General features: G+C 47.9%; 3 annotated features.

Moving 5' to 3' along the window:
• Positions 1,192 to 1,281: an enhancer, noted in NCBI's record as "active region_25370". NCBI's record gives its function as "activates an Ori minimal core promoter by ATAC-STARR-seq in GM12878 lymphoblastoid cells {active_cell/tissue: GM12878}" and the evidence as "EXISTENCE:reporter gene assay evidence [ECO:0000049][PMID:35858748]".
• Positions 9,162 to 9,852: an enhancer, noted in NCBI's record as "H3K27ac-H3K4me1 hESC enhancer chr6:159256297-159256987 (GRCh37/hg19 assembly coordinates)". NCBI's record gives its function as "activates a minimal SCP1, AML or CMV promoter by ChIP-STARR-seq in naive H9 embryonic stem cells {active_cell/tissue: H9 hESC(naive)}" and the evidence as "EXISTENCE:reporter gene assay evidence [ECO:0000049][PMID:30033119]".
• Positions 9,853 to 10,543: an enhancer, noted in NCBI's record as "H3K27ac-H3K4me1 hESC enhancer chr6:159256988-159257678 (GRCh37/hg19 assembly coordinates)". NCBI's record gives its function as "activates a minimal SCP1, AML or CMV promoter by ChIP-STARR-seq in primed H9 embryonic stem cells {active_cell/tissue: H9 hESC(primed)}" and the evidence as "EXISTENCE:reporter gene assay evidence [ECO:0000049][PMID:30033119]".

A 13,101-nucleotide genomic window follows, 5' to 3' on the forward strand; every position in this document is an offset into this window, starting at 1 on the left:
ATCTCCAGCTGCGTCTTCTTTCCCTCACTCTCACTCGCCCTGAGCTTGAGCTCAGCTGGCTCTGCTCCCGCTGCTGATTTTTTTATCTGTGATCACTCAGCCCCGTTGCTGCCTTAGAGGTCTTGTGCTTCATATTCCCACGGCCTGGAAGGCATGTCCCCCATCTGTGCCAGCCTGGCCTTTTCTCATCCTCCAGGTCTTTGCAGCAGTGCCTCCTCCTCTAAGAGCACTTCCCAGCCACTGTCCCCTGCTGCCCCTGCCATCTGAAGAGCCACCCTCTGGTGCCCCGCCACTTCACCCGATTCACTGCCTTCAGAGAACTTGACTCTGCAATTCTCTTCCTTGGTTTGTGTTTTTTTTTTTTTTTCTGATTTGAGACAGGGTCTCACTCCATTGTGCAGGCTGGAGTTCAGTCGTGAGATCATGAAGATCATGGCTCACTGCAACGTGAACCTCCCAGACTCAAGCGATCCTCCTGCGTTGGCCTTTTGAGTAGCTGGGACCACAGGTGCGTGCCATCACGCCCAGCTAATTTATTTATTTATTTATTTATTTTTAGAGACAGGGGTCTCACTATGTTGCTCAGATTGGTCTTGAACTGGCCTCAAGCAGTCCTCCTGCCTCAGCTTCCCCATTGTGTTTTGTTTTTGTTTTTTGAGACAGAGTCTCACTTTCATTGTTGTCCAGGCTGGAGTGTAGTGGTGGTGGTGTGAACACAGTTTCTTGCAGCCTCGACATCCTGAGCTCAAGTGATACTCCCACCTCAGCCCCTCAAGTACCTGGGACTACAGGTATATGACACCACACCAGGCTAATTTTTGTATTTTTTGTTGAGATGGGATTTCACCATGTGGCCCAGGCTGGTTTTGAACTCCTGAGCTCAGGGGATCCACCCACCTTGGGCTCCCCACAAGAGTTGAAGCTCCTCTCAGTCTTGTTTGTTTGTCGATGGACCCTCAGCAACTAAAACAGTGTCTGGTGTGTGGTAGCTGTTCAATAAATATCTGTTGAATAAATGAATGAACAAATCCTGTTAGTTCCAGAACCGGGGTACTCTGGTAAGTTTTCCTTCCTGTGTATCATACTGCTGTCCACTGGGTTGCTAACCATGGAAACACCTTACTTGAAGTCTTATTTAGCAGCCCAGCTGTCCAAAACACCATCGAAAACCAGATGTTAAAAAAAAAAAAAACAAAAAAAACCAGAATTCATGTTTTTAGAATTTCTCTGGGTTTCCCCTAAAGTGTATTAATTCCTGTTTTCATTGTGAGTCTAAGTTTTATTAGTTCCTTTCCCAGGCCATGGCAGATTAGCAGAGAGGGTGCAGGGTGCAGGCAGACACACTGACAGCAGTAAGAAGCAATGCTTGATGGTGAAGAGGCAGGAATTGTACAGAGCAGGCAACTCAGAAGGACAGCCCGGAAGCCCGAGGGCATTGATTGGTGTTCCTGGTGATTGTTTTCTCAGGAAAGGGAGCTATGTCTGCTCTCTATTATCATAAAACATGTTATTTTGTAATGTTTAAAAAATGGTGAAATGTTTTAAATCTTCAGGAGTTAATTCAATAGACAACTATCTCAATTTAACAAATGGTATTATTTTATCCCATTAGTTTCAGGTTTTTAAAAAAAAGAAATAACGGCCGGGTGTGGTGGCTCACACCTGTAATCCCAGCACTTTGGGAGGCAGAGGCAGGCAGATCACCTGAGGTGAAGAGTTCGAGACCAGCCTGACCAACATGGAGAAACCCCGTCTCTACAGAAAAAAAATACAAAATTAGCCGGGCATGGTAGTGCATGCTTGTAATCCCAGCTACTCGGGAGGCTGAGGCAGGAGAATTGCTTGAATCCAGGAGGTGGAGGTTGCAGTGAGTCAAAATCGCGCCATTGCTCTCCAGCCTGGGCAACAAGAGCAAAACTCTGTCTTAAAAAAAAGAAAAAAAGAAAAAGAAATAAAATGCGATAGATAAATTAAAGCCTCTCTAGCCCTCCGCAGGAACAATCAATGTTCTAAAGTTGCTGGGTTTCCTCTATGCAAGGGTTAATTTTGTTTGTTTGTTTGTTTGTTTGTTTTTTGAGATGGAGTTTCGCTCTTGTTGCCCAGGCTGGAGTGCAATGGCACAATCTCAGCTCGCAGCAACCTCCGGCTCCTGGGTTCAAGCCATTCTCCTGCCTCAGTTTCCGGAGTAGCTGGGATTACAGGCATGCGCCACCATGCCCGGCTAATTTTGTATTTTTAGTAGAGACGGGGTTTCTCCACGTTGGTCAGACTGGTCTCGAACTCCGGACCTCAGGTGATCTGCCCGCCTTGGCCTCCGAAAGTGCTGGGATTACAGGCGTCAGCCACCGCTCCTGGCCAAGGGTTAATGTTTTATATGAAAAAAAAAAAAAAATGTGGCTGGGTGTGACTCCCTCCTGTAATCCCAGCACTGTGGGAAGCTGAGGCAAGAGGAGGATTACTTGAGCCCAGGAGTTCAAGACCAGCCTGGGCAACATGGTGAAACCTCATCTCTACTAAAAATACAAAATTACCTAGGCATGATGGGGCGCTTCTGTGGTCCCAGCTACTCAGAAGGCTGAGGCGGGAGGATCACCTGAGCCTGGGAGGTAAAGGCTGGAGTGAGCTGAGGTCATGCCACTGCACTCCAGCCTGGGTGACCGAGTGAGACCTGTCTCAAAAAAAGAAAAAAACCAAAAACATGAAACAATTTCCTAAATAAATTAGATGTTATTAATTAGGTGTTTAATTGCAGAATATAAACGAATTATTTTTAAATCATCCTGATTTTTTATTTCTTTCCGCTTCCTTCTTTTTTTTCTTATGAAAGGCTACCTTAATAAAGCAGTATGTGCTGAAATGCCCGGCACGACACAGGTGGTTATCAGTCATTTGGATTGTCCTCTGCTCAAACTGTGAGTTCCTCAAAGGTGAGACCAGTGACTACTGGTCTTGGTATCTCAAGTACCTAGCATAGAGCCTTGCACATCATAGGGGCTCAGTAAATATTGATCGAACTGAATTGAAAACTGAGCCCCGTGTGTTTTCTGTAGTGAAGACAATGTCTCACTAAGCATTTAGATGTCCGGATCCCAGAGATTTGACATGTAAACTAGATAATTGGCACTTGAAATATTTTCTTTAATTAAAAAAAAATTTAGCTGGGGCGCAGTGGCTCACACCTGTAATCCCAGCACTTTGGGAGGCCGAGGCAGGTGGATCACAAGGTCAGGAGTTCAAGACCAGCCTGGTCAACATGGTGAAACCCTGTCTCTACTAAAAATACAAAAATTAGCCAGGCATGGTGGCACACGCCTGTAGTCCCAGCTACTCGGGAGGCTGAGGCAGGAGAATCGCTTGAACCCAGAAGGTGGAGGTTGCAGTGAGCAGAGATCGAGCCACTGCACTCTAGCCTGGGCGACAGGGCGAGACTCTGTCTCAAAAAAAAAAAAAAAAAATTTAAGCCTTCTGATAACCAGGGAAAACAAATTTCTGTAGCAGGTAACGAATGTTACCTGACCCTGTGGAATCTTACTGAATATCAAAAGGACTCGTTCCAGAAGGAAGTCATCTTGTAATGTCCTGGGCAGTGCTTCACCCTAGGCTGAAACATGGGCCACATACTTCATTCACCAATCAGTGAGCTATAAGGGAGAGCAAGACAGATAAATCTTGAAGTTTACGCTTAACTAAAACTTGGCCTTTGGCTGTTTGGGTTTTCCCAGACTTCCCATGAATTTCCATGAAATCAGCATTGTCACTTTGTCAATCTGCCGTTCCCAGCCACCTACTCAGACTGGGTCCTCAGGTCACCCTGAGAATGTGACTGGGGAATACAGAGACTGGGACGTGGAGTCCAAGGGCAACTGACTGTAAGGTCTGGGTCTGGTCCTAGTTCTGCCATTGACCCTGAGTGTTGGCACAGCGGCCATCTGAGGGACGTGCTAGCTGGGAGGTAGGCTGGCCAGCTCTCAGCTTCTGCGCATGGCTGTTGCTATGCTAGAACATGAGCCCTGTCCTGCTACCTGTCTCATTTTCAAGAAAACCCTGAAATCCTGATTTTTATGTGACATTTCCCAATTCTTTTTTCTCTTTGAGATAGTGTGTCACTCTGTTACTCAGGCTGGAATGCAGTGGTGCATTCTTGGCTCACTGCAACCTTGAACGTCCAAGCTGAAGTGATCCTCCCACCTGAACCTCCTAAGTAGCTGGAACTAGAGGTGTATGCCACCATGCCCAGCTAATTTTTAAATTTTTTGTGGAGATGAGGCCTCACAATATTGCCCAAGTTAGTCTTGAACTCCTGAACTCAAGCAATCCTCCTGCCTTGGCCTCCAAAGTGCTGGAATTACAGGCATGAGCCGCCACCGTGCCCAATTCCCAGTTCTTAAATATTGGCAAATGAGTTACAGTTTTTTTCCAAGATCCTCTGCAAGCCAGATGAGACGTGTGCAGGCCAGATGTGTGTTCCTCCCTGCCTTCTGCTCTGCAGATCCACTTAGTGTCTGTCCTATACGTGGGTTCAACCAGGTAACTTTTTTTTTTTTGAGACAGAGTCTCACTCTGTCGCCCAGGCTGGAGTGCGGTGATGTGGTCTCAGCTCACTGCAACCTCTGCCTCTCGGGTTCAAGTGATTCTCCTGTCTCAGCCTCCCCAGTAGCTCGGACTACAGGCGCGTGCCGCCACGCCCAGCTAATTTTTGTATTTTTAGTAGAAATGGGGTTTCACCATATTGCCCAGGCTGTTCTCGTGACCTCAGGTGATCTGTCCGCCTTGGCCTCCCAAAGTGCTGGACTACAGGCGTGAGCCACCATGCCCGGCCTTAACCAGGCAACTTCTAATGTCCCACTAGGCTTCAAAACACTGTCACTCCTGGCATGCTTGACTTTCCCTGGTGACAGTGCTGGCAGGGACTGTCCTCCCTGAGTCTAGGTGTGGTAGAAGACACACAGGCCCATCCACGCAGCCTCTCATTCTGTGCACACGCAAAGGCAGCTCTCGTGGTCGCATTTTCAGTTTGGGGAGTTGTCATGTTGGTAACTGTAGGCCTTAGACTTAAGGGACATTCGAGGAGGGAGTGACCCCCTTTCGTGGTGGACACAACACCCTAAATGGCTAGCCTCAGCTCTTCCTCCCTGGCAGGCCCCATCTATGCTGACCGCCCTGGTGGGGTTCTGAGCTGTACACCCCAACCCCTTACTCTGCCAATAAGAAAGAGTGGCTTCCATGTTTCTGCACACTTCCTTGCCAGCAGGGTTGTGTTTTGCTTCTAGACTGGCAGCGTCCACAGCCCTCTCACCAGTGAGCACCTCTGACGGCTCCACATCCCATCTGCCCCATTGTTGTGGCTGTGAGAGCTGTTCAGGGTTGGTGGAATGACCACCACAGCAGATGGGCATTGAGTGCAGGGTCCCTGCCCTTCCAGGCAGCTTACTTTCAAAGGCACGGCCATTCCACAACACGCTTCTCCTCCTGGATCTACCTACAGCAAAGCTGGGACTATTGGCATGGATTTCCTAAGACTTGCTTTCATTTCGAAATTGTTTTTAAGAAAGAAAAAGTAAAAGCAGCTCCGCACAATGGAAAAGCTACTTTGCATCTCATCTCCAAGTGGAGCTGACCTGGATAGTCATCCCCTGGTTCCTAGGTGGGGCAGGTGCTAACTGGCGGGTGGGCAGGGATGACGCCCATAGGAATGTTGACAAACTGGGTTTTGTGAATCTCCCGAAGCTCAGAACTCTGATGGCATCGATTCTTGGTGGCTCTTCCTCCCTTCTCTTCCCTTTATCCCAAGGTCTGGCCATCGGATCCTAGAACTTGCAACTGAGAAGGGGGAGACCTGGCTTCCATGTAGAGGACACACGATTTCCTCCCCTCTGAGGGGGCTCGTGAGGGTGACTGTCGGGCCTCTCCTGGAGCCTCAGAGAAGGACTCACTTGTCTGTGGGTGAATTTGGAAGGAGAACCTGGGCATACAGAGCCCAGCCCTTTGGCTCACTCTTCCTCTTGGGAGCTGACCCGCCCACTGCTCTATCTCTTCCAGCCATGCATGTTGTGGGGCCTGGTCCCCTGTGGATGGCCCATGGTGGCCTAGAGCTGTCTCTGCCAGGGGGCATATTTGTCTAATTCCATCATGCAGTTTTAGGCAGTCCATTTGCCTGTAGATCGAGGCCATGCCCTCCAACGGTGGCTTTATCAGCAGTAAAACTTGCAGGTTTCATCTCCCTTGTCTCATTCACTGGCCCTTTCACATTGCAACCAGCACCTCTGCTGGCTCCCAGGCTGCTCCGCTGGAGCTGAAAAGAATGAATACCCATCTTCAGCAACTGTATCTTTCCCCCTCTTAACTTAGGCTCGGGAATCAAGCTTCCCCTAAATAATGAATTGGACTTTATTCTCTCTAACCATACCAGCTCTCAAAACATTGGAAGCCAGATTTACTGGGTCCAAATGTTTATGTTTATGGTTAGTTACATCAAAGAGACTTTGTCATTAGTAAAAGTGTTTTAATTTAAGGCAGGAACTTGGTTATGGCTCCTTGAAGACATCTGCTTACATTGCCTGGTGTCTATCCCTGTATCTGACACCCAGAGAGCTTAATAAACATTTTTATTCCATCAGTTTGGTTGATTGAATGAGCCTGGACTTTTTCCTTTGTAACTCTCCAAAGCACTGAGCTCTCAGCAAAACAGAACCAACCAAGATGTGGCGCTGACTGACTCAACTGAACGTTTATCCCCAGAGACTTCTGATAGCGATCCTACCTATTCGAATTGAATCCAGCTCTTTATGTTTTAATTACTTCTTGTTATTCTCATTTTCTTTTCCCCATCATCCTAATGTGTTTAACATGTCTGTTTATATGTATTTTCCATAAAGTATATATTATTTAACGTACACATGCTTTCAATTTATTTATTTATTTATTTATTTATTTATTTATTTATTTATTTTGAGATGGAGCCTCACTGTGTCACCCAGGCTGGAGTACAGTGGTGCGATCTCTGCTCACTGCAACCTCCGCCTCTCAGGTTCAAGCCATTCTCCTGCTTCAGCCTCCCGAGTAGCTGGGACTACAGGCGCACTCCACCATGCATGGCTAATTTTTGTATTTTTAGTAGAGATGGGGGTTTCTACGTGTTGGTCAGGCTGGTCTCGAACTCATGACCTCAGGTGATCTCCGCCTGCCTTGGCCTCCCAAAGTGCTGGGATTACAGGCATGAGCCACCATGCCCAGCCAGCTTTGTGTTTTTAACATTCATTTTTAGAAGTATTTTCTCTCCCCCTTTTCAGAAATATATTCTCCTTCATTTTCCTTTCTTAGCATTTTAGTTTACCATCCACATTTGGGACTTTCTCTGGAAATAGAGTCCACCCTTCTGTGCAGTTAAATTTTATTTTTCTCCATACAGATAGCCAGTTTTCCCAGCTCCATTTACTTCATGATCCACCCTTTTATTATTTATTTATTTATTTTGAAATGGAGTCTCGCTCTGTGGCCCAGGCTGAAGTGCAGTGGTGCAATCTCGGCTCACTGCAACTCCACCTCCCAGGTTCAAGCGATTCTCCTGCCTCAGCCTCCCAAGTAGCTGGGATTATAGGCGTGCACCACCACACTCAGCTAATTTTTGTATTTTTAGTAGAGACAGGGTCTCACCATGTTGACCAGGCTCCCAGCCTCAAGTGATCCTCCCACCCCAGCCTCCCAAAGTGCTGGGATTACAGGTGTGAGCCACCACCGCCAGCCACGATCCATCCTTTTCCCATTGATTTGTGATGTCACCTTTATGGTATATTATATTCCCATGTGTCCCTGGGTCTATCTGCTGGTTCTCTGTTCTGTTCCATTGGTCTATGCATTCTTGCATCTGTGGGCTATGTCTTTGCAGCAGTAGATATTAACCTCTGATGGGGCACATTTTCTCCTCATTGTTCCTCTTTTTTCACCGTGGATCTTCATGAAATTCCACTGTAAGCAAATGAATCTCAGGAAGATCTCTGCAGGAGCTGCTCCACTAAATATTTCACCTTAACTTTTGTCTCTTCATATCATGCTTATTGTTTGATTGTTAAATGTGAAGCATTCTTTATTTTATTTATTTTTTTGAGATGGAGTCTCGCTTTGTCGCCCAGGCTGGAGTGCAGTGGCATGATATCCACTCACTGCAACCTCTGCTTCCAAGGGTTAAGTGATTCTCCTGCCTCAGCCTCCTGAGTAGCTGAGATTACAGGTGTACGCCACCACGCCCAGCTAATTTTTGTATTTTTTTATTAGAGACGGGGTTTCACCGTGTTGGCCAGGCTGGTCTCGAACTCCTAACCTCAAGCGATCCACCCACCTCAGCCTCCCAAAGTGCTGGGATTACAGGCGTAAGCCACCACACCCAGCCAGCATTCTTTAAAAATACGTTTTTGTTATATAATTCAGACTGATGTTTCATTTCTACTCAGTTATAATTATTGTGAGCGTTTTGGCTAGGTACAGTGGCTCACACCTGTAATCTCAGCACTTTGGGAGTCTGAGGCAGGAGGATCGCCTGAGCCCAGGAGTTCGAGGCCAGCCTGGGCAACATAATGAGACCCCCATCTCTATTTTAAAAATTACTGTGATCATTTAAAACATAAATCTCTGAAAAAGTGAATGCTCTATCATTTGAGAAGGGCTCATTTGTTGCTAAAGGAGCTAGGCACACACCCAGGACGATGGCCCAGCTTGCCTGTCGTGTGAGTAACCGGGCAGCATAGCCTTGCCATCTGGACATCCCCAGCCACTCAGGGAGTCATACAAGAACCCTTGTTTCCACTCCAAGGCCTCTGCCAGGCAGGACACACGGTCAGATCGCCCCTGAAGGCTCTCAAGTACTTGCTTGGCATTCACTGGTTCCTAACTTCTGCATTGTTCTCAACTCCTTTCCTCCCTCTCCCACCACATCCTCTGTTCTAATCCCTGACAGTTCCACTTTTATATCCATTTTCTCCTTCCCAGCCTCCAGAGCCCTCTCCCGCCAGCTAGAGCCAACTCAGTCCATCTGAACCCTGTGCTAGCCCCAAGGGCTGACCTGGACCCAACAGCCTTGGGCTGTAGCAGTGGACACGTGTCAGGGTGGCCCGACTTTGGCTTTGTGCTTCGACTTTTTGTTCTCAGCTTGCTCCCTGGATCTGGTCAGTCATGTAACTAGTCTGTTTTCTCAGCCATGCATTATTTATTCTTACTAATTAAGCACACTGGAGGGTCCTGATTATTGGAGCTTTGTTCTCTCCCTCACCTGGGTGCTTGCCAGGTAACTTCCTTCCCCAGATGACCCAGATCCTTGAGAACCTGGGTGGTGTTTGCTCTTCTGATTCCTTCTCCAAGGAATTAAGAGTCGAGCATGTGGGGGTCCTACCACCTATTGACCAATCTCTTGGATGCAGATCACCACAAACTGTAAAAATCGCCTTTTCCACATTTACTGGCTCAGGTTGCTCTGAGGGGTGGATACTAATATCTCCTCCCCACGAAGGAGGAAGCGGGGGCTCAGAAGTTAAGTGGCTTAGCCAAGGTGTGTGGCCAGAGGCGGTGGAGCCAGGGCTGCCCCTATACGGCTGATTGTCACAGCCCTCACTCCTCTCCTGCGTCACAGAGCCCCACCTCCCGGGCCCCACTCCGCCTCGTCCTGCTGCTGGCTGGGTCTGAAATGAGATAAGCCTATATTGAGAAACTCAGTTCCTCCGCCCTGGACAATTACAACAATCTGCACGTTTGCCCCTTTATCCATTCATTCGACCAACGGATCGTCATTAAGCACATCATTTGTGCCAGACAACGCTTCAACATGGCTTATTTTTTAGTTCAGCATTGACTGAGCAATCAGAGCTGTGGTTTGGATTACGGCACGCTCCTGCTCCCAAACCTTCAACGACATAGCTCAGGACAGGGCCTGCTGGAGCCAAGGAAGGCTGGGCAGACTGGGCAGTCAGGGAGAAGCTAGGACCTGGAACCACGCCCATCCGTGAAGCTGGGAAGGCCAAGCACAGTGTGCAGAGGGCATGGCCAGGGCAGGCTGGGGTCTGGGAGGCTCAGCAGCAGGGGGGCAGGGAGGGGCGGGGCATCGAAGAGGTCCCTCAGGGCAGGAGGATGCAGGGCAGGGAGAAGCTAACCAGACTCAGGGAAGATCCTAGGGCCCAGCCCCTCCCAGTCAGGGAAAGAACTCCAGACCCTGTGAAAGGTGAAAAAGGAGAGGAGGGTCCTTCTGCCATAGGACCAGGCTGCTACACCTGCTTTTATAAGGCCGGTGATGCCTTATAAAAATTGAGGCAGGCCAGGCATAGTGGCTTATGCCTGTAATCCCAGCACTTTGGGAGGCTGAGGCGGGCAGGTCACCTGAAGTCAGGAATTGGACACCAGCCTGACCAACATGGAGAAACTCCGTCTCTACTAAAAATACAAAATTAGCCGGGCATGGTGGCGCATGCCTGTAATCCCTGCTACTCGGGAGGCTGAGGCAGGAGAATCACTTGAACACAGGAGGTGGAGGTTGCAGTGAGTCGAGATCGTGCCATTGCACTCCAGCCTGGCAATAGAGCAAGACCCATCTCAAAAAAAAAAAAAAAAAAAATTGAGGCAGAAAAGGGTAACACATCGTGGCTAACACAGCAAGGGGATGCTTGCTTCAGGAAAGATGGGTCTGGAGCCCAGGGGAGACAGCTTGGGTCCCAGGGGGCCTGACTCATTGAGCAGGGGCACAGGAGGTGCCGGGGAGCACACAGCTGACGGCTGCACCCCAGAGTCCTGTGTGGAGGATCCACAGCCCTCCGGGATCCGATCCCCACCGCCGGTGTACCCACCACCCTCTTCTTTCCTACACTGTGGTCATGTGGCCTTCTGCCCTCTCCCAGGCTGATCGCAGTCACCCCTGCTGCTGCTCCTGGACTTGTACTTTCCTGCAGCCCACCTCTTTACTTCCTCAACCCTACTTATCCTTTAAGACCCAGTGCAAAGGCAGCAGACCAGACCTTCCCATTCTGTTTTAGCCACTCCCCTGACCTCAAGTTCTGCTCACTTGCTCACTGCTCCCTTGCCAGCTGTGCCAGGTTCCTAGGGCTGCTGTCACAAGGGACCGCAAACTTGGTGGCTGAAAACAACAGAAATGTATTGTCTCTCAGCTCTGGAGGCTGGAAGTCTCCCTCTGAAACCCACAGGGAAGGATGCTTCCTTGCCTCCTCCAGCTTCTGGTGGCCCCAGGCATTGCTTGGCTTGTGGCAGCATCACTGTCATCCCTGCCTCTGTGGTCACAGCCTCATCTTCCCTCTGTGTCTCTTCTGTCCTTATGGGAGCACCAGTCCTATTGGATTAAGAGCCCGCCCTACTCCAATGTGACCCCAAACTAATTACATTTGCAATGACCCTATTTCCAAATAAGGTCACATTAGGAGGTACCGGGGGTTAGGACCTCAACATATCTTTTTGGGGGACACAATTCAGCCCGTAACACCTGCTATTAGAGTTAGCTATACACAGGTCCGCATCCTTCATGACAGGTCTCCATCCTTCACAGCACTAAGTCCCTTGTCTACCGTTCAGTGGTTTTGGAATGAGACCTGGGTTTGCCACTCACCCTTTGTATAAACTGGAGCAAAATTCCCAAGCAATCTGTCCTTTCCCATCTGTAAAATAACCACAACACCCAGAGTCACTGTGCTACTCATTAGAGTCAATTCATGCACCTGGCGAGTGCCCAGGAAATTTTAATTATAACAATAATACAATAAATTAATAAATGTATTAAAACAATAATAACATTAATCAATTAATTATTAAATAAAACAATAATTAATATTGTGTGTTGAACATAGCAGGTGCTCAATAAATAAACGTTAGTCACCATTTCCTCTAATAGGTATGTACAAAACTAGCCAGCTAGCAGAACACTGGAGCTGAGGAGCTTTTCCAGAGGGAGGGGGAAGGGGTGGCCAACAAGCCCTGGAGGCCCCATCCGTCCCCTGCATCATGAGAATTGCTGAGGTGACTACGTGGCGCTGCCCATTCTTGCCTGGGTGGCAGGGAGATCCCGGTTCCCACTCCCACACCACAGAATCCTGGCTGTCTCTGTGGAAATGTGACGGTGGAGCAGGCAGAGACTCCACACCCGGCTCTGTTCTCTAAGGCTGTGTGTGGGTGTGTGCGTGTATGTATGTGTGTGTCTGTGTGTAAGGGCTTGGAAGACAGAGGCCAGAAGAGCCAAGAGTCCTTCCAAAAGGATCTGTTTCAGGCTGGGATGAAAGACGGCAACCACAGCATGCCCTCCGGCTCTGCAGGCCTTCCTGGTTTCTGTGGAGAACCAGATTCTTCTGTGGAAAGAGGATGGGTGGCAGACGCAGCCAAGCATTTGGAATCAGAGACCTGGGTCTGAAACAGAACTCTACCTTTGATGAGCTGGGTGACCTCAGTGACCGCAGCTTTCTCTCAAAGTGGGGCCGATAAAATCTGCCCTATCAAAGAAGAACATGATACAAGTGCCAGCTGTTAATATTTATGTCTCATTGTTGCCAACCCTTGAAGATAGGTTTCCAAAGCACATCCACATTTACAAAGTACTGTCACAGCTTTGCTTTGTTTCGATTTTCATTTAGACAACAAGAAGTAAAAAACAAAACTAAACCTTTTAATTACTATTAGAAAGAAAGGAATATGTCTAAGCTTCAGTATTCATCTGCAATGGGATCAAACTTGGCCTCCTTTATCCTCTGCATATTTTATGAACATCCAAAAATATATGCTTCTATTTCGAGGGATTTCCTCTTCTTCTTTAGTTGCTTCTTTATTTTTCTTTTTCATTTTTCTGACCCTATGTATTATATTGAAGAATTTCTTCTTCTTTTTTTATAATACATTTTATTTATTTATTTATTTATTTATTTATTTATTTATTTATTTGAGACAGAGTTTCACTCTGTCACCCAGGCTGGAGTGCAGTGGCACGATCTTGACTCACTGCAACCTCTGTCTCCTGGGTTCAAGCGATTCTCTTGCCTTAGACTCCCAGGTAGCTGGAGCTATAGACCTGTGCCACCACTCCCAACTAATTTTTTTTTTTTTTTAAGTAGAGACAGGGTTTCACCATGT

Source organism: Homo sapiens, chromosome 6 (genome assembly GCF_000001405.40).
Source record: "Homo sapiens chromosome 6, GRCh38.p14 Primary Assembly".
Taxonomy (NCBI): domain Eukaryota; kingdom Metazoa; phylum Chordata; class Mammalia; order Primates; family Hominidae; genus Homo; species Homo sapiens.